The sequence below is a fragment of the Homo sapiens genome, chromosome 10 (assembly GCF_000001405.40).
Source record: "Homo sapiens chromosome 10, GRCh38.p14 Primary Assembly".
Classification (NCBI taxonomy): Eukaryota; Metazoa; Chordata; class Mammalia; order Primates; family Hominidae; genus Homo; species Homo sapiens.
Genome location: NC_000010.11, coordinates 101,282,535 through 101,302,304, shown reverse-complemented (window position 1 = coordinate 101,302,304; position 19,770 = coordinate 101,282,535). Strand labels below are relative to the sequence as shown.

The 19,770-nt window shown below is 52.8% G+C and overlaps 1 long non-coding RNA gene across 2 annotated transcripts, besides 6 other annotated features; it reads right to left on the bottom strand.

The window, feature by feature from the left end:
• Nucleotides 3,958-4,027: an enhancer, noted in NCBI's record as "active region_3911". NCBI's record gives its function as "activates an Ori minimal core promoter by ATAC-STARR-seq in GM12878 lymphoblastoid cells {active_cell/tissue: GM12878}" and the evidence as "EXISTENCE:reporter gene assay evidence [ECO:0000049][PMID:35858748]".
• Nucleotides 4,068-4,137: an enhancer, noted in NCBI's record as "active region_3910". NCBI's record gives its function as "activates an Ori minimal core promoter by ATAC-STARR-seq in GM12878 lymphoblastoid cells {active_cell/tissue: GM12878}" and the evidence as "EXISTENCE:reporter gene assay evidence [ECO:0000049][PMID:35858748]".
• Nucleotides 10,306-10,845: an enhancer, noted in NCBI's record as "H3K4me1 hESC enhancer chr10:103051217-103051756 (GRCh37/hg19 assembly coordinates)". NCBI's record gives its function as "activates a minimal SCP1, AML or CMV promoter by ChIP-STARR-seq in naive H9 embryonic stem cells {active_cell/tissue: H9 hESC(naive)}" and the evidence as "EXISTENCE:reporter gene assay evidence [ECO:0000049][PMID:30033119]".
• Nucleotides 10,846-11,385: an enhancer, noted in NCBI's record as "H3K4me1 hESC enhancer chr10:103050677-103051216 (GRCh37/hg19 assembly coordinates)". NCBI's record gives its function as "activates a minimal SCP1, AML or CMV promoter by ChIP-STARR-seq in naive H9 embryonic stem cells {active_cell/tissue: H9 hESC(naive)}" and the evidence as "EXISTENCE:reporter gene assay evidence [ECO:0000049][PMID:30033119]".
• Nucleotides 15,376-16,283: an enhancer, noted in NCBI's record as "H3K4me1 hESC enhancer chr10:103045779-103046686 (GRCh37/hg19 assembly coordinates)". NCBI's record gives its function as "activates a minimal SCP1, AML or CMV promoter by ChIP-STARR-seq in naive H9 embryonic stem cells {active_cell/tissue: H9 hESC(naive)}" and the evidence as "EXISTENCE:reporter gene assay evidence [ECO:0000049][PMID:30033119]".
• On the bottom strand, nucleotides 16,202-18,382 carry LOC105378453 (uncharacterized). Of its 2 annotated transcripts, none has more exons than XR_001747306.2 (3): nucleotides 18,302-18,382; nucleotides 16,981-17,145; nucleotides 16,202-16,883 (listed from the first exon to the last, which is right to left on the bottom strand). It is a non-coding gene; the product is annotated as an uncharacterized LOC105378453 (long non-coding RNA). The 2 variants fall into 2 exon arrangements; XR_946247.2 differs by lacking the exon at nucleotides 18,302-18,382 and adding an exon at nucleotides 17,736-17,846 and having other exon boundaries at nucleotides 16,334-16,883.
• Nucleotides 16,284-17,193: an enhancer, noted in NCBI's record as "H3K4me1 hESC enhancer chr10:103044869-103045778 (GRCh37/hg19 assembly coordinates)". NCBI's record gives its function as "activates a minimal SCP1, AML or CMV promoter by ChIP-STARR-seq in primed H9 embryonic stem cells {active_cell/tissue: H9 hESC(primed)}" and the evidence as "EXISTENCE:reporter gene assay evidence [ECO:0000049][PMID:30033119]".
• Nucleotides 18,383-19,770: the final 1,388 nt, after the last annotated feature.

The window sequence follows — 19,770 nt, the reverse complement described above, 5'->3', positions numbered from 1 at the left end:
GCCATGTTGGCAGGGAGGGGAATGTTACTAGGCTATGAGGCACTGGTTTTTCATCGCACTCAAGGCCACACCTCAGAACTCCTCCACCTAGCTGCTGCCCCTATGCTAGCCTGGTCCCCAGCACAGGACCATCTCCCTGTGCACTTCCAGGGCCAGACCTGGTCCTCATATCCAGGAAGTAGGCCTGGTGAGTGACTAAATGGGGGTAGGGAAAAGAAGACATTAGGAGTATGGGCCCTCACTGGAAACTCCCTAGGGATGATGGGGGTCAGATGCTAACAATGTCTAGTTGTCACAGTCATGGCTCAGCATGGCCACAGGGCAGAGATACGGGCCTCTCCAGGGCAGTGAATCTGGGCTGGATCATGGCCTCCAAGGGCGTGTAGGAGGTAGGGAGCTGGGGAGGTTGAGAAATGTAAGGAGGTGGGGAGTGGACAAAAGTATGTTCTCTAAGTTCTAGACACAAAGGAGAGAAGCCTCTACATAGGAATGAAGAGAGGAGCTTGGGAGGGACTAAATCAGGGCTGACTTTCCCAAGGCATCTCTCCTTGGGGCAGGGACTAAAAGTGTAAAAACATTCAAACAAGGTGAGTCCCTAGATATGGGCTCCATGGTAGACAGTGAAGCAAGGGGAACTGAACTGCTAATGCTGGATGGGGCAATTCCCATGGTCCTCTGCTGCCTCCCTCTGGAGAGGGCATAACGGTGAGCTCTGCTCTGCTGCCAGCCCCTCTGCAGGTCCTCCTGGCTTCTCTTCACTGCACCTCACCTCCATCTAGGTCCTCGATTTCTCCCCAGGTCCTCATACACTGTATTAGTCAGGGTTTTCCAGAGAAACAGACCAAGAAAGAGAGAAAGAGAGAAAGAAAGAAAGAAAGAAAGAGGAGGAAAGAAGGAGAGAGAGAAAGAGAGAGATAGAGATAGAAAGAAAGAGTGAAAGAAAGAGGAGAAAGAAAAAAAGAAAGAAAGAAAAGAAGAAAGGGAGAAAGAAGCAGACAAGGAGAGAAGGTGAGAAAGAGAGGAAGAGAAAGAGAGAGAGAAAGAGAGAGATAGAGAAAGAAAGGAAAAAGAAAGAAAGAAAGAAAGGAAAGGAAAGAAGAAAGAAGGAAGGTAGGAAGGAAGAAGGTAGATAAAGGGACTTATTATGAATGATTGAGTCACCCAATTATGGAGGCCAAAAAGTCCCATGATGTGCTGACTGCAAGCTAGAGGCCCAGGAAAGTGAGTGGTATAGTTCCAGTCCAAGCCCAAAGGCCTGATAACTGTGGGGGCCGGGGAGGGGCTGGTGTATAAGTCCTGGTCCAAGTCTTAAGTCCCCAAAACCAGCAATGTCAAATCATAAGACAAGAGGAGATGGATGGCCTAGATCAAGCAGAAAGCAAATTCACCCTCCCTCTGCCTTTTTCTTCTATTCAGGCCATCAACAGATTGAATGATGCCCACCCACAGTGATGAGTGTGAGTCTTCCTCACTCAGCCTACTGATTCCAGAAACTCCCTCCACAGACACACCCAGAAATAATGTTTTCCCAGCTATCTGGGCATCCCTTAGCCCAGTCAAGTTGGCATATAAAGTTAAGTATTCCAGGCTAAGCGAGGTGGCTCACGCCTGTAATCCCAGCACTTTGGGAGGCCGAGGCAGGTGGATCACCTGAGGTCAGGAGTTTGAGACCAGCCTGGCCAACATGGTGAAACCCCATCTCTACTAAAAATACAGAAATTAGCTGAGTGTGGTGGTGCATGCCTGTAATCCCAGCTACTCAGGAGGCTGAGGCAGGAGAATCGCTTGAATCCAGGAGGCGGAGGTTGCAGTGAGCTGAGATAGTGCCATTGCGCTCCAGCCTGGGCGACAGAGCAAGACTGTCTCAAAACAAATAATAATAAATAAAATAAGCATCCCAGACACCATCTTCACATCTGACAATGCCTCCTGATACCCCCTCTCCCACCACAGAGAAAGCACTAGATAAAAAATACACTATGAGACCGGTGTAGTGGCTTATGCCTGTAAGCTGAGTACTTTGGGAGGCTGAGGTGGGCAGATTGCTTGAGGCCACGAGTTCAAGACCAGCCAGATCAACATAGTGAGATCCTGTTTCTACAAAAAAAAAGAAAAAAATAGCCAAATGTGGTGGTGCATGCCTGTAGTTCTAGCTAGTCAAAAGGCTCAGGCAGAAGGATTGCTTGAGCACAGGAGGCAGAGGCTGCAGTGAGCTATGATCATGCTGCTGCACTGTAGACTCTAGCCTGGGTGACAGAGTGAGAACCTGTCTCAAAAAAAAAAAAAAAAAAAAAAGAGAAGACTAGTAGGTGGCAAAAGGGGCTCTGTGACATCTTCTCTATTCTCTGTCTCTCTTCTTAGAGAAGGGACTTTGACTTGGCTTACTCATTTGCATCCCTGTCCCCAAGGATAGGCTGGGCTGGGACGGTAGGAGAGAGGAGTAGACCAAGAATTGGTTCATTCCTTGTGGCCTCCGCCTTTCCCTATATGACTTTACCCAAGGCCGAGACCAAGCCCAAAGCCAGATGGGAGTCTCTGTTGACTGAGTGCCCTCCCCTGCCAGAGGACCAATCCCAACTGAGCAATCCCTGACCCTCAGCTCTGTCTGCCTCTCACCAGGCTTAGTCTAGTGGTGAGGGGTTTGAGACCCCAGATGGTGGAGGTCGGGGAGGGGGGCTGTAAAAGAGGGTCAGAAGTGGCCAGTGGGTCACATGGACTCTAAGAGCGACATTTCCCTCCCTAAGTCCTTAGACTTAGTCCAGCAGACTGGAGGTTGATGGGAAAACAACAAAAAAGTCAAGGAGAAAGCCATTCTGGGTTCCCCCCTCCTTCATGTTCAAAACTGTTTGGCACATTCTTACACATGCAGCCACAAACATGCATGCACGTGCACACAGACACACACACACATGCACACACAGAGCTGAGCTACATATGACACATCGTGGAGTGGGGACCAGTGTGGTGGGCTTGAGGGGAAGAGCAGAGCAGGAGGCTGTAATAGTCAGCTGAGGGCACAGGTGCAAAGCAAGGGGCACTTTGTGGGGAGCGGTAACGTGAGTACACATGGCGGGCTGGAGGTCCAGAGAAAATAGAAAGGGAGATGAATTGAAGCAGAGGGTCAGCCAGAGGCTGAGGAGAGGGTGCCTCTAAAGGGAAGGATCTGGCCTATGAGCAGTGCTAGCAGAATTCCATGGTGACTGGGCACCCAGGCATTGGGTAAACCAGTGCACCCTGTTCTGAATAAGAGGTGAGCCATTCAGGCCTCCAAAGGCACCCCCAGAAGGAAGCCAGAGGCCAGGAGTGCTCCAGGTCTCATTCTTCTTCCCCTCTGCTGTTAAGTGGATGGGGTAGGTGGGAGTTGGGCTGCTGATCCCAATTTCCCCTCTCCCTCGAAAGCCTGGACTCACCCACTCTCTCCAAATTCAATTGTCCTTGATGAGATCCACTCTCCCACACTGAGCTTCCCTACCCCCTCCCAAAAGGGGCCAGGGAGACTAAAACAGGTTCTCTCTGTTTTGCTCTATTGTTTTTCTTCTTTTCCCCCACCATGTTCCAGGACCCAGGACATGCTCTGCCTTGCTCTAAATCCTAAACTGGACAAGCTTAGGGTAGGAAGAGTCAGCGGCGACTGTGGCTTCCTACCCATTTTCTTATTTGCGTGAGCCTGGCCTTTCAACCTGTTGTGAGGAGGTAGGATGTCAGGACAGTGGGGGTGGGAGACTGAGTATTTTGACCTTGCGAGGCCTGCCCCTGTCTTTACCCATTCCCCGCCAGCCCTCAGTGCCCTTTGAAGGTTTATAGTCATATAAATCGCAGAGTCCCATGCCAGGCTTGGAATTTGCAACTATAAATAGGCAGGAGGTAAACAAGGTGGCAGATGCAGGGGCTTGGGACAAGACGGAAAATCTGCCCCTCTTTGCCTGGGCAGGGGCCAAGGCACATCCGTGGAAAGGGATATCTTCCCTCCCTTCTCACCTCTCCTCCCCTGCCTGCTGCCTGCTGGCTGCCTGTGCTCTGGGCTTCTAGTCTTTTCCCTCTAGGCATTTATCCTCCAAGGCAGCTTTCTGCTCCAACTCTCCCTGGCCACCTGCCCTGTTTCATCTTGCCCTGAGTCAAAACAGGGCGGAGGGATTGCCTCCATTAGGCTCTGTGCCCCTCGGCCTCCCTCCAGCTGCTTCACACTTTATCCCGTGCTCCTCTAGTGAAGTCTTAAGGAGGTGCCGCTTCTGCCAACCACCAGCCTCCACCACTAGGGGCGCCCTGATCCCCTCTCCATCCAGCCAAGGTGATGCTAACATTTCTCAAGCAGGAAACCGTATTAGGAAACTCTGGGGAAACAAAGCAAAGACCCTCACCTCCCACTCATTCCCTTCTAAAGCACAGAACGTGAGAGTGCACAGATTTTATGTTGCTTAGGCTGATGGACACCTGCCTGGCCACTTGGAGTTTCTACCCATGATCTCTGGGCTGTATGAGCCAGATTCTGAGCAAAGAGTCTGAGTTTGAAACAATTTAGGTAGCATGCTTTCTAGATCCATCCCTGCCTTCTCTCTGCCCCAGGGTCGGGCTGATTTTATGCTCTGTTTTGTCCTGGCCCTGGCAGGTTCCCAGCCACCAACAGTCCTCTGATGAATGTCAGGCCCCGCTGGCCCTGCAATTACCTCTGTTCATCCCTCTTGTAAGAATCTGGATCTTCAGCCCTGAAATTCCTTCTTTCATCCTAAACCTGGGCTCTCCAATCACACTCACCCATCGGTTTAGAATCACAGAAACTAGAACGGAAAGAAATCTTATTTTTTCTCATTTTACAGATGAGGAACCTGAAGCCCAGAGTGGTGAAGTGACTTTCACCTCAGTTACACAGCTCAGATTGGCTTTGTTGCTAAAGTTGGAAACACTCCTCTGCCAAGCTTGGCTTCTCCACCTAGACCTTAACTTCCCAGCTCCTGCTGGCTTCCTTGGCCCCCCAGAAGCAGAGTAGCCACCTTTCAAAGGTTCATTCTCCTTTGCACCCTACATCTACCTGGCCTCTACATGGGGAGAGAGAAAGGACAGATTCCAAATCTCAAGAAATGGTTGAATTATATGTGGCTCCGTTTTCCAGTACCTTCAACCCCCCATTTCCCTGAGTCCTCTCTGATGGCTTATCGGGCAGATGTTCCTGGAGGAATGACTTCCCAGAAGCCCATCTTCATAAAGCCTTGAGGAGCATCCTTCCTGCTGTGGGAAGCCACTTCCCTGGCTGCTCCTTTATTTTTCTAACGAATGTCAATTTCCTAAATTGGATGGCAAGGTGAGACCGAGTGCGGTTCCTTGAATGGTGTCACTTATTCCCTGGGTTTGCAATGCTCAAGGGAGCACATGTGCATGCACACACATGTATATGCATGCACTCATGTTCTCATCGCCATCCTGTTCAAGGGGTCTGTCTTTTTTTTTTTTTTTTTTGAGTCAGAGTCTTGCTCTGTTGCCCAGGATGGAGTGCAGTGACACGATCTTGGCTTACTGCAAGCTCCGCCTCCCAGGTTCACGCCATTCTCCTGCCTCAGCCTCCTGAGTAGCTGGGACTACAGGCACCTGCCCGTTAAATTTTTATATTTTTAGTAGAGACGGGGTTTCACCGTGTTAGCCAGGATGGTCTTGATCTCCTGACCTCGTGATCTGCCCATCTCGGCCTCCCAAAGTGCTGGGATTACAGGTGTGAGCCACCGTGCCCAGCCAAGGGGTCTGTCTTAATCTATTTCTGCAGCCATAACAAAATACCTGACACTGGGTAATTTATAAATAATAGAAATTCAGGCCAGGCATGGTGACTCATGCTTGTAATCCCAGTACTTTGGGAGGCCAAGGTGGGAGGATTGCTTGAGCCCAGGAATTTGAGGCCAGTCTGAGCAACATGGTGAAGCCCCATCTCTACAAAAAATACAAAAAAATTAGCTGGGTGTAGTAGCAGGTGCCTGTAGTCCCAGCTGCTTGGGAGGCTGAGGTGGAAGTATCGATTGAGGCCAGGAGGTGGAGGGTGCAGTGAATTGAGACTACGCCGCCGCACTCCAGCCTGGGTTACAGAGTGAGACTCTATAATAATAATAATAATAATAGTAATAATAGGAATTTGTTCTTCACAGTTCTGGAGGTGGAAAGTCCAAGATCAAGGGGCCAGGAGATTTGGTGTCGGGTAAAGGATATCTCTCTGCTTCATACGTGGCACCTCTTGCTGCATTCTCACACGGCAGAAGGGGGAAAAGTGGCAAACAACTCCCTCAAGCCCTTTTATAAGGGCACTAATATTGTTTGTGAGGGCACGACCTAAGCATCTCCTAAAGGCCCCACCTCTTAATGCTATTGCGTTGGGGATTCAGTTTCAACATGAATTTTGGAGGGAAACAAACACCACAGCAGGGTCTTAAGCTAGGAGCAAGACCAGAATCTCTGCATCCATGTTTCAAATGAGTCACAAGGAAAGGAAGACAAATACAGGAGTTGATCTGGGAGACAGATAGGACATGAGTTCCTGTGGTTCACTGAGGGCAAAGGGAAGGAGGTGGCACAGGTAACTAAGGTAAGTGGGAGTGTTCTGGCTCCCTGATGGGTGGAAAGGGGCTCCCTTTCCACTGGGCTGTCAGGATGAATGAAATCTGTAGGTGAGAGGGAAGATGCTGATGGCAGTCAGACAGGGAGAGTTCTGAGAGGGAGTCCAGTTACCGCAGAATACTCCCATCCTACAGCTGGACTGGAGTTCCCAGTGTGCCATCTGGGAGTGCCTGGGATGTGTGTGGGGCAGCTGGAGGGATGGCCATCATCTATCCAGCACCTGTCCTGCCCCCAAAGCGGATGATGTAACAGTATAACAATGTGGCAGAGGACAAGGGGGGTTTTGTAATGTTTCTCTGGGGGAGGAACAGTCCAGCTTTCAGCGATATGGCTGGGATAAGGCAGCTGTTGTCTGTGCTGTGAGCTCAGAAGAAGCCCCTATCCCTTCAGTGAGCAGTCTGAGCCTGGGTCCGCTCATCTTCATTCCAGTCCTTTAATCATGGGATGGCTCATGACTCTCCTTCCAAGGAACAGAAATGATTTGCGCTGCACCTGTCAGCCACATAGACTCTAATCAGAGATCAAACAGGGCACAGAAAAGACCCTGCCCAGGAATGAAATGTAGACCTTCCTATGGGGTAGGGGACATTCAGGCCCTGGAAGAATCTTTTTTTTTTTTTTTTCCTTTTGAGATGGAGTTTCGCTCCGTCTTGTGCCCAAGCTGGACTGCAATGGCACGATCTCAGCTCACTGCAACCTCTGCCTCCCAGGTTCAAGCGATTCTCCTGCCTCAACCTCCTGAGTAGCTGGGATTACAGGTGTGCACCACCATGCCTGGCTAATTTGTTGTATTTTTAGTAGAAATGGGGTTTCACCATGTAAGCCAGGCTCGTCTCGAACCCCTGATGTCAGGTGATCCACTCTCCTCGGCCTCCCAAAGTGCTGGGATTACAGGCGTAAGCCACCATGCCCGGCCAAAAGAATCTTTATCCTAGGTCCCCAGGCATTGCCTCCTCCCGCTCCACACCCACATCCCATCTCCCTGGTCTTCTGATGCCCCTCATTTGCCCAAGTGCCTTCAATTTAGGCCTCCCGCAAAGGTCCTCTTCCCACCTTCTACCTGGTCTCTCTGGAGGGCCTCACCTTGGTCTTCAATGATCCTTCATCTTGGCCCTCCAGAGAATCTCACCAGGATTCCTTGCAAACACTTTGGATGTGATCTTGCCTATAGATTCATTGTCCACCATTGTCCAAGTTCCCTAGATGCTTTGCTAACCAGGCTCAGAGAGCAGACTGGAGAGTTAGGTCCTTTATCGCCCCAATCCGACCACTTTCCCTCCTGCCTCTTCATTCAAGCTCCCCAGCTGGTCATGCCCTAGAAAAGCAATCTCAGCATCTGCTTTCTCACTCTCCCTTTCCTTATCCATAACCAGAAACCCTAGATGGGAGGCTGAGACAAGAAGATCGCTTGGGACCAGGAGTTCAAGTCCAGCCTGGGCAACATAGTGAGACCCTCATCTCTGAAAAAAAAAAAAAAAAAAAAAAAAAAGGAAACCCCCAGTGTCATTCTCCAAACTATTAGACTGTTCTTGAAGGCAGCAGCCATAACTTACTCACTCCTGTGCCTCAAACTCAATACTTCAAAAGTTAAAGGTTCAATAGATATTTATTGAAAGAATCAGTCCTCGGCCGGGCACTGTGACTCATACCTGTAATCCCAGCACTTTGGGAGGCTGAAGCGGGCGGATCACCTGAGGTTGGGCGTTCCAGACCAGCCTGATCAACATGGAGAAACCCCGTCTCTACTAAAAATACAAAATTAACCAAGTGTGGTGGCACATGCCTGTAATCCCAGCTACTCGGGAGGCTGAGGCAGGAGAATCACTTGAACCCGGGAGGCGGAGGTTGCAGTGAGCTGACACCATGCCATTGCACTCCAGCCTGAACAACAAGAGCGAAACTCTGTCTCAAAAAATAAAAAAGAAAAAAGAAAAGAAAAGAAAAAGAAAAAAAAGAAAGAAAAAGAATCAGTCCTCAAACTTCTCCAGTATATTTCCTTCTTTTCTCAGTATACTGTCCTGTCAAGTTCTCAACAACTACACTCTTTTATTCCCAAGGCAGCTTTTGAGGAGCTGTTCAGAAGCATTAACCTCTTTCAGTCCCAGATCATGAGGGGGAATGCGCTGATATCCAGGTCTGGGACCGGGAGCTGAGCACATGGCCCGCCTGCCTCGCCTGAGCCTGGAGGCCCCAGGCGGGATTGTCTGTCCTCACTCATCCTTGCCGCCAAGGCCTCCTCGCCTGTATTTATATACACTAAAGCCTCTGCTCGAATAAAACATCCATGTAAAATCCAATTTCCTCAGAATCTCTTTTGGAGCCTGGGCCTGAGATGGAGTAGGTAACCCCGGCGGTAACTGCCTGAACCACTCCTGCCGGCTGCAAAGGTGAGGCCCATTTTTCAATTATCTATCTGCTGTGACAGCAGCGGTCCAGCCACCGAGCCAAGGCAGGGGGAGGGGAGAGGCAGAGCTGGGGAGGAGGGACAAAGAGGGCAAGGGCACGGTGGGGGAGAGGGGGAGGGAGAAACCTAGGGAGAGGAGGCACAGGGAGAGACCCTTGCGCCTGGCACCCAGTAGGTGCTCAAGAATTATTTGGAAAATGAGTGATCAAAGAGTGTATAGGGAGGGTGGGGGTGAGATCTCCTCCTCGGAGAGGGGGAGAGCTGGAGAGACACAGGGTGGGTGGAGACAGAGAGAGGGCGGGAGAGGTAGGGGGAGGGGAGGCGAGCGTGGATGGAGCCAACAAGAGGCTCCTGTGTCAATCCGTGGAAACGGGAGGCAGAGTGATGCGGTCACAGCTCCTGCCATCAATATCCTCTAATATAAATGTCAGTGATGCTATTTTCCGCGCAGTCATTTCGCACACTGCTGATTACATTAACGTATAATGGAGGGGCGCCGGCTCCACTGCTTTCTCCCCTAACCCTCCCCCCGGTGATGTGTCAATAGCCGCCTCCATGAACAAGTCAATTTTCTGCAGGCTTGGCAGCGGAATAAATCTGCCCGGCTATGGGGAGAGCTGGAGATATTTATATACCCGGCGCCTGCCTTCCGTGTGCGCGCGTGCGTGTGCGCGGCGGGCGCGGGCGCGGCCGCGGGCCGGAGCGGGGGTAGGGGGTGGTTCTGGGGCGCGCCGCCGAGCTGAATGATTTCCAGCCCCTACTCAATAAGAGGAGAATTTAGAGCGGTCCCTGAGCTGGGCTCCCAGAAACAGCCTTACACGTTTATTTTCCTTAGCTGAACAGGAAAGAGGAGAATTATATGTGGATTTATAGGACAGGCGCAGCTCAACCCAAATGCTCCCGCTCCAGGGGGCGGGGACGAGGGGGAGGGAGGTGGCAGGCCGGGCGCCGGCCGCTGGGACCCTCGCTCGTGCCTGCGTTGGTGGGGGCACACCCCCCTCGCCGGTCGCTTTAATTACATTTGTTCTCGTCCTTCGTGAGGGCGAGACTTCGGCGCGGCCCGCGTGGGGGGCGGGAGGAGGCGCAGGCCAGGACTGCCTGGAGGGGGGCGCGGGGAATGGGAACGTGGGGAGCCCGGGAGGGGGTGCTGTCAGCTTTTGCTCAGAAGCGGATCAATAGTACGAGATCTAATGGGCTAACTGCCAAGCGGGTGCACCGAGGCGCTGCCCCGCGGGGGCGGGAGGCGGTGGGCGAAGGACGAGAGAAAGGAATGGGGGTGGGAGAGGGAGTGAGGACGGGGAGGGGGGAAGGGCAGGAAGAGTGGAAGAGGTGGGGGGAGGAGGAAGAGAGAAAATAAAGAAGGGGAGAGAAGGCGAGCGGGAGCGGGAGGGCAGGGACAGGACAGGACAGTCTTCGTAGGGGCGTTTCTTCACAAGGGGGATCCTTTCCTGGAGCTGCCAGACGCCGCAGTCGCCAGCCGCCGGGCCTCAACTCTGTCATTGAGCCGCCAGGGGGCGGCGCGACCCTGTGCTCTCCCCGCGGATCTCAGGGTCTCCTCGCTGGGGCGCGAGTGACCGGTCGCCGCCGATGATTGGTCCCTGCCCGGCGCCCTCTGCCCTCTCCCGGAGGCCTCCCGCGTGGCAGGGTGGGCGTACGGCGACTCCCCCCAACTCCTGCCCCAAAGGAAGGAACCTTCTGGCTTTCCTGGTGTTGGCCCTGGCGCCCTGGGACCCTAGAGCCCCGGGGAAGCGCCCAAAGGCTAGGTCACCGGCCCAGGGCTGGCCACTGTCCCCGGAAGACCCCCAAGGCCGCGGCCGACGCGGCATGGAGGCGCTGGGAGATCTGGGCCTTCGCAGCCCGGCTAGGGAGCGTGGACGAGTCTCCGGGACATCCTGCGCGAAGGGTCCTTCTGTGCGTGCTGCGCGGGCGCTAACGAGGCCAGCCAGAGTCACCAGGGATGAAGGCTATAGGGCCCGGTTTTAACTCATTCGGTTCCTGGCCATTGACTGTCCTTTTTTCAGTTCTGGGGCCTCATCCCTTCCCAAACTGAGAAAATAAAATACAGCCCAACACCCTCAATGGCAAGTTTAGCCACCCTGGAGAGGGGAGCCTGGTGGTGACGGCTCAGTGTTCTCGACCTGGCAGGATAGCAGAATTACTTGAGGGAGATTTTTAACATAAGCGTGTTTACCCGCACGCATGCATTGTAAGAAGCTTGTATGTAGAGGCAGGGCTTCCTGGAAGCATGCCCGGTGTCAGAGCTCCCCCAGATAACGCTGATACAGAGTCCCACATGAGCATTACCTGAAGAAACTGCCTGGAGGTGCGGCACTGGGAATGGGAACATGGGGAGACCAGGAGTGGGGCACTGTCAGCTTTGGCTCCAAGCAGATCAATAATAGTACAAGATATAATGGGCTACCTGCCAAGTGGGTACACTGAAAAATGTCACATATTTTTTCATGTTGGATGTGGTAGCTCGGCCTGGGCTATTTGCCCTCATGGATGTGTCTGTGTGTCGCTGCATGTGTATGTTGCTGGGTACCTGCACCACTGGGTAAGCATTGCTTTATGCATCTTTTTATGTATCCTCTGTGTGCGGATGTCACTGGGTATGCATCATCCCGTGTATCACTGGTGTTATCATCAGCGTTTACTGAGAGCACCTATTGTGTGTGTGTTGTCGTACATGCCTGTCCTGATGAGAGTGAGTGCGGATCCTGGGGTGTGTTTGTGTTGTATCGAGCACATCTCTGTGGGCTCCATTGTGGGGCACAGCCATTGTCTCCATGTCATTGAGAGTGTGTGCTGGCAAGAGCTCGTGACACAAATGGAACGAAGCTGATCTGCCCTAGAAGCAAAGGAGGCAATGACCTTCTTTTTCCAATTATATCCTGGTCAGAGGTGAGCGACCTCTCTCCACCGAGGCCACTTCTTGTCATGCAAACTGAGCAGAAGGATGGAGATTAGAGGAATGTGACCGAGTCACGTGTGAAAACAATCAGCTATCAATGGGCCCCGATCAATGCCCCAGATTATAGATGAGCCCAGGGCAAGCAGTCACTTTGGAGTTTTTCCTGAGGAGGCAAAAATACACAGCACACAGCCATACACGTCACACGTCCCGAGAGACCCACAGCCTGGGGACAGGTAGGAAGTGGGTTGGGGAGAGCTGGGCAAGTGAATGGCCACCCACTTTGAAGTGGTCGGCAACTATTATTATTAGTAGGTGGTTATGTTGTTTTTGTTAAAGATGCAACCTTTATTCCGCTGGTAGCGGGAAGTGTAAAAGCTTGTGTTTGGTGTTTTCTATTTTAAGTCCAGAGAGTTAGGTCTCTTAAGTGGGTCACAGGAGACAGTGTGGGGATTTGGAGGAAACTTATATCAGGAACGGGAGCAATAGAGGGCTTGTATTGAGAGAGTGGCAAAGGAAAGTCTTTGGTCAGCTGTGGGCAGGGGGCAGGTGTGAAGCAGAGTGGCTCCTGGGGCCAGGGCACATGTCCTTAGGACAACTTGAAACCAGGCTGTGGGGTGAGAGGGCTGAGCTTCTGAAAGGCAGGGCCAGCCCTAACCACAAATATGCTCCACGATAGCAGGAGAGTGCCGGGCTTGGGGAGTAGTGGCCTCTGAAGGGCATGACCATGAGGGCCCTCATGAAGTGTGACTAGTCTTTGGAGACAGGTGGTGCAGGCCCTTGAGGGGCTATAAGGATGAGCTGAGGGGGCCAGGACTGGGTCAGAACCTATAGGGTCAAGGGAGACCAATGAGAAGATGGAAGAGTTCTGGAAAGGCTAGAGGACCTCATCAGACCTGGCTCTGGATTCAGCTAAGCCTGCTTGTGGCCAGCAGTCAGTGTGGCTGAGTCTAGCACCCATGCTAGCCATGGCTGAGGCAAGGGGAAGGATCATGTCCTCTGTGCCCACTGGGGTGTGTCAGGCAGTCCTTGGAGGCCTTTAGTTGTCTTGGAATCCCTTTGGTGCACATTTATGGTTGTCCCACTTTGCCTCACCCTGTGGGAATGCCATGATGGGCAAGAAAGCCCTTAGAGAGCCTACAGTCTAATGTGGAATAAAGAACTTAAATAAAGACTTAAATTTTTTTTTTTTTTTTTTTTGCTTTGGAAAAAGTAGTGTTGCATAAGCATATACCGCCTGGATCAAAATCCCAGCTGTGCCATTCACCAGCTAAAGTTTGTGAATTCTCAGGCCCTCCTTTCCTCCGTCTGTAGGATAGGGGTACCTATCTCTTAGGATTGTTGTGCAAATCTTAGGAAAAGTCCTTAGAACAGGGCCTGGCCATGGTAACATAAGTGTTGGCTCTCCTAGTCTTTCCTTCAGTTTTGTAGTACAGAGCCTTTGGAAAAGTCTCCCTCTTGGTGTTAGCAGAATTAAGGTAAACAAGGACTTATTCACACCTTGGACAAGATAAGGGGGTGGTTAGAAGACCCTGAGAGGTTGGAGTGTGGTGTGGAGTAGAGGCAGGGAAGGGGCCAGCTTGGGGGTGTGGGAATCCTGGTGTGGGACCGATGGAGCAGTGAGATAGGTTCTTTCTAGGTAGAGCTGAGGGGGCGTACGACAGAAAGGCCCTCTGCAGAGCCCAGCACACTTAGGACAGTTCAGTGCTGCTAGCTCTGCCCCCTCTCCCTGGAGGGACAGCCTCTGCTGGAGCTGCTAGCCCATAGATGTCCAGGGGGGCTGCACGGGAAGATGTCCACCACTACAGGATAATCTCCCTGGAGGGACACCCCCTGCTGGAGCTGCTAGCCCATAGATGTCCGGGGAGGCTGCATGGGTAGGTGCCCACCACTACAGGATAATCAGCACCTCCGCTCTCCTGAGATGGGCCTCTCTAAGCTTCCCTCTCCCACCACTTGACCTCAGGACAGTAGCCCCCTCTGCTGGCCTCCACAGAGCTAGACTGGGCTTGCCTTGACCCATGTCCTTTCTTTCCAGCTGGCTCGCTGGCTCTGATATGAGCCAACTTCATGCTGTGGCAGGACTGAAAGCCTCTAGGGGTCTTAGCCCTTGACTATGGACTTCTGGGGACCTCACTGTCCCCGGTTTGTTTATTCAAATCCCATTGCACCAAATGACTGAGCAGCTGCCAGAAGCTGCCGCTTCTTTATGGGACTGGGTGGGAGGGATGAAATGGGGAAACCTTGGTTACTGTCCAGGGAACAAAGGGTTAAGGCAGGTGAAGGGTGCTGGCATGGGAGTGGGTCACCCCCTCCCCTTCCAGTGATTATTCTCCTCTCCAGGTGTTTTTGTGGCTTTTTTCCCCTCCCTTGGGGTGGGAGTGGGGGCTGCTGGGTCCACTTCGGGCTTAGTTATTGTTTTAATTTTGGTGCTGGCTCCCTGGTGCCTGGAGTGGATAATGAAAGAGGAAAAGAGAGGTCAGGGTGGTGCCCAGGCAGCAGATTTCTGCCCGTCAGCCTGGGCTAGGGCGGGTGGGGAAGTGGCGGGCGGGGGAGTGTTAAGTTAATATCAATAAAGCAACTGGAGTCTCAGAAGTGAGGAGCTGCAGAGCCAAGCACAATGTCTTCATGCTAAGGGAGCCTGAAGGGGCACTTTTCCTGTCCACGATGAATTCTTAAAATGGGGCTGGACAGGGGGCAGGAGTCCAGTGAGCGCACAGGCTGGGTGGGCGCAGCTCAGTGGCAAAGGAGTGACAATGAAACCAGGGAGGAGCTGAGCAGAGAATAAGTCTCGGCTCGGTCTCACGCTCAGGCCGCTTGTCAGCTTTTCCTTCTGCATTGCCCTGTATCTGTTCAACCCCACACAGGGCGGATTTGAGGGGGCCATGCTGTGGGGTTACTGGAGATGGTGATAGATAGAAAAAGGAGGCAGGAAAGTATAGGGGTTGAGATGACAAGCTTTGCTGTCAGACAGACTTGGGTTCCTGGCCAAGTTCTGCTTATTGGCTGTGTGACCTTGGGCAAGTTACTGAACCTTTCTGGGCCTCAGATTCCTGTTCTGTAAGATGACACTAATAGTGATGCCAGCTTCGCAGGGTCATTAACATTGTACTCACCGCAGGGTCATTAACATTGTACTCGCCGGGTGCGGAGGCTCATGCCTGTAATCCCAGCACTTTGGGAGGCCAAGGCAGGTGGATCACCTGAGGTTGGGAGTTCAAGACCAGCCTGACCAACATGGAGAGACCCCTTCTCTACTAAAAATACAAAATTAGCCAGGTGTGGTGGCACATGCCTGTAATCCCAGCTACTAGGGAGGCTGAAGCAGGAGAATCGCTTGAACCCGGGAGGCGGAGGTTGCAGTGAGCCAAGATCGCACCATTGCACTCCAGCTTGGGCAACAAGAGCAAAACTCCGTCTCAAAAAAACAAAACAAAAAAACAAACAAACAAGAAAACATTGTACTAAGTGAATTCAGCACAGCGCTTGGCATGCAGTGAGCACTCAATACATGCTAGCTACCCTGTGAAGCCTGTTTCCTCAGCTGTAAAATGGGGATATCCGTTGTAACTTCCCCATAGGGGTCTTATGGGGAGCAAATTAGATAAAGCCTGTAAAGTGCTTAGCACAATTCCTAGTACATAAATAAGCCCTCAATACATGTTAGCTGTCGTTATTATATTATTTTTATCTTTATTATTCCCTGCTGTCTTGGAACTGGTGATTTAGTTGAGGAGACTGAGGCCAGGCCACTCCCTTGGCCATCTGAGGTATTTGGCTTATATCAAAAGGGCTTTCTGAAGCCCAACCCAACTTGGAGAATACTTCTAGTATTTCTTTCATAATCCTGTGGACAGACAGAAAGTCCCCAGGAGCTGAGATGACTGCTGGATGTGCAGGAGAAAGAGACCCACTTGCGTGACCACATTTGGCCCCAGGCGAAGCGTGCCCGCAACATGGCTGTCCATGGGCAGGCCAAGGGCCTCACTCTGGCCCCCACCCCAAAGTTGAAGACCGTGGGCTGGATGAGGACGCTCACCTGTTTTCCTGTGGGGAGGCTCAGTGGGCATGTCAGAGAGAATGTGGGTCTCAGAAAACCCCCACCCTTATCCCATTCCTTCTCCTCCAATTCCTTTTCTTCTCTCCAGTCTGGGGGTGGGGGTGGGGGCTGAGCAGATAGGAAAAAGAGGGTAGTTAATGCTTCCCACTTGACCTTTCTTTCCCCCACCCCCCACCCCCACCCCCAGCGGGCGGGCAGGCTGAGGAGATGAATGGGGTAGAGGGCACGATTTTCACATTAATGGCAGCATATGTTGTGTTTATTGACACTGCAGCGTCGGTGCTTGTGGTGGTTGTGGTAGGGGGGTGCCTAGGAGGCCACAGGCAGGAGGGGGCAAGGGAAAGAGGAGGCAGAGGGGAAGGTTGCCGGCGGGCGGGGAGGGGGAGAGGGAAGGGAGCCTGGGGCCTGGGGGGAGGGAGGCAGGAACAATATTGTTGCAGGAGCACACCAGGTGCTCGCTGTCAGCCCGAACAAAAAGGAAGAGTCAGCAACTCTTGAGGGGGGTGGTGAAGAGGCGGGAGCCACCGCCTGCTCCAGCCTCGCAGCTCCAGCCTTGCAGCCTCTCCCTGTTAACCCCTGCTCTGCCATGCAGCTGAAGAGGGGAGCGACATCTGGGGCTCTCCCCGAGGCCAGGAGCTCCCCCCACTGAGCCCAGGAGCTCCCCCCACTGAGCCCAGGAGCTCCCCACAGTCCTGGTCTCCTCAGAACCATCACTTGCCTTTAGTCACCTGGAAGATGCGGCCGTCTCTGGAGTGGGCAGTGGCAGGAATTGCCTTTGCCTTCCCCAAAGCCGAAGGAAAAGAAGCCCCTCTCTCTGGTCCACCCTTTCCATAACAGTTGGGCCTATGTGGTCCTTGAGGAGTTGGCAAACCAGAGTGGCAGGGCCAATGACCTTGGGCTTCTGAAGGCAGCTGTGGGTGGAGGGATGTGAAGAGGGGATGAAAATGGAGGATGGGTTCTCTGCTGGAGGTGGTCTGTACAGACCCCCACAGCTCCTCTCTCTCTGACCTGGCTACAGACTCCTTGCTTCCTGGATGTCTTCCCAGAGTCCTCTTGCCTGGGGCATGGGGAGGAGGAGGAGTTGGCCACATGGTCTGTTCTGTAGACATGTCTCTCAGTTGACTAAGAAGACTGGGCTCGCTGAGTTAGCCTGGAAAGCGCTGGAGGCCCATCCTAAAATATTCAGGTGTGGGGAGGATAGATGGCAAATGAGTTGCCCACCCCAGAACCCCATTCTGGGGGTCTGGGAGGGCCTCCTGGGTTCCTGGCCGGGGAGCAGAGCTGCAGGTGATGTCTACAGCTGTCACCGTACCCTTCCCTGCCTCCCTTCCTCTTCCTGCAAAGCCCTGCATGGAAGCAAGGTACTTAGGACTGCTTGGATGAGCTTCTCCAATTCGCTTTTCTTGTAGCTCCTCTAGGGCTGAGAGGTTACTATGTAGGGGAGGATGGGTGGGAGAGTCCTCCCAGGAGGGGTGACTGGTCTCCTTTCAATCCAAAGAGTCAAGAGGCTTCTACCTCCAACCCTGAAGGCTGGTCTTCTCGTCTGTGATCTGACATTCTGGAGCCGTCAACTCTTGTGTTGGCTATTCTACAGTACATGTCTTGGTCACGCTAGACGCTGGACGAGGGTGCTAGTTCCCCACCCTTGCACAGCGGGCGGGGCCCATAGAGGGGAAGGGTGTCCTTTCCGTATACCCGCCTCCCGCCCCAACTCTGTCTGGCCACCTGAGTTTAGGCGCAGAGGCCTCCGTGGATCTCCTTACCCCGGGCTGGAGGCGAGGCAGGCACGCTGGCCTGGAACCCTCCTCGACACCCTCATCCTGCAGACAGTCAGGGCCAACTCGCGGTACTTCGACCCGCGGCGCAGTGCGAAACCCCGGGGCAGACCCAGCCGCGCAGTGCCCCTCGCCGCTCGCCTCCCGGCTCCTCCCCGGGGTCCGGCCCCGGTTCGCACCCCCCTTCCGCGGCCCTCTCGCCGGGCTCCAGCTGCGCGCGGAGCGGTCCCCGGCTCGGCTCCAGCTCCTCAATGGCCCTGCTCCCCCATTACCCTGATGTCGGCCCTTCTCCCCCTCGGCTTTATCGGCTCTCAGCCGGCTCCGCCAGGGTAATGAGGGCCCTCCTAATTACCATTGCAGAAACTCCACTTACATTAACAGCTCCATCCGAGGAGCGGCAACATCTGCTGTGCGCAGGCAGGCGCCCCTCCCCCGCCCCTCGCTCCCCGCTCCCCTCTTTCCCGGTCCTTTCCCCCGACCTTCCTTTCCATCCTCTCTGGCCCTTCTCTCCCATCCTCCCCTTCTAATCTCTTCCCTTTTCATGCCCTCCCTACCACCGTGGCAGCCAGGTCCTTTTCCACTTCAGCATCCCAGGATGAGAGAGATCCACATGGGGACAGGGCCCCAGAGATACTGAGAGGAGGAGACACTCAGAGGGGCTGGGCCAGAACTCCAAGAGACCCATAATACTCAGGATCCCAGAAACACAGCCAGACAACCCAGGAACAAATAGAAAGTGGTAGCAGCAGAGACTGGGAAGGAGATGGGCTGTGGAATGGGGCAAACTGCCTGTGTGTGTGTGTGTGTGTGTGTGTGTGTGTGTGTGTGTGTGTGTGGTGGTGGGGGCTCTGACGTCTATCGATGTGCAAAGGTATGCGTAGCGTGCATATGTGTGTATGCACTTGTATCATGGACTTTGCATGCTCATTTATTTAAGCATCATGCATACGTGTGCATGTCAGTGTATCTTTACTTGCATATGTATCTTGTGTACATATGCGAATACATCTATTATGCATTTGCATCATGGGTGCAATAATATATATTTATCGATATGTATCTGTGTGTTTGCATTTTGCAAATCTGTATCTGTGTATATGCATATACTTGTCTTTCATATATGTAATTTTGTAGGTGTATCATTCAAGTGTGACTTGTGTACATGTATGACCCAGGTTCAACGTTATGTGTGCACCACGTGTGGATGCATATGTGCCTCTGGGTGTGTTTGCATCTCTGTATGCATGCCTATGCATGTGTGTATCATCTGTGTAATTATTTGATGAGAGAGGGAGCATGTGTGTGTTCCTGCTCCATGGGGGATGACAGGCAGTTGGGAAGACGCTGAGCCCATTTTATCTGAGGTTAACAGGGGTCACATTTCACTCCTGGAAGTCCCCCACCCTCCTCCCCACTGCATACAATTAAGCCTCAGTGTGGTGGAAAGACAGCCAGTAGACATTAAGAAAGGTCAACAGTATTATCGGCTCCTAATCCAATTAGTTACTGTTTATTTGGGAATCCAGCTCCAGGTCAGCTTCTAGGGAGGAGGCCTGGGAGAAAGGAGGGCATTTGATGGGATGAACTGAAAGAAACTAAGATGGCCAGGGCTGTGGATGGCGGGAGCTGTCCCCAAAGCATCGCCAGTTAATGCACCTCCCACTGGCTATTTTGAAGCTGGGTAGGGGTGGGGATGGGCCTGTGCTTCACAGGAGGGGCTGAGACCTGGGGTTTCATCTCTAGAGATTGGAGTATAAAGGAAGGGGAGTTCTCTCCCTCACCTTGAGAGACTTCCTGCCTCTTTCCACCCTAGCAGGTGGACTGAGAGCTGGGCAGCCTGCTTTGGGGGTGTGGGCAGGTTCCCTTGGGATGGGAGAGTCAGAGGAGGAGATGTTGGGAAATGCACTATTAGTTTTTGAAGCCACTTCATTAATCCTGCCCTCTATTTTATTTCCCTTTTTCTCTTCCCACATCCTTTTCTGAGCCCTAGCCCTCTACTCACTCCCACCTCCATGCCAGGACA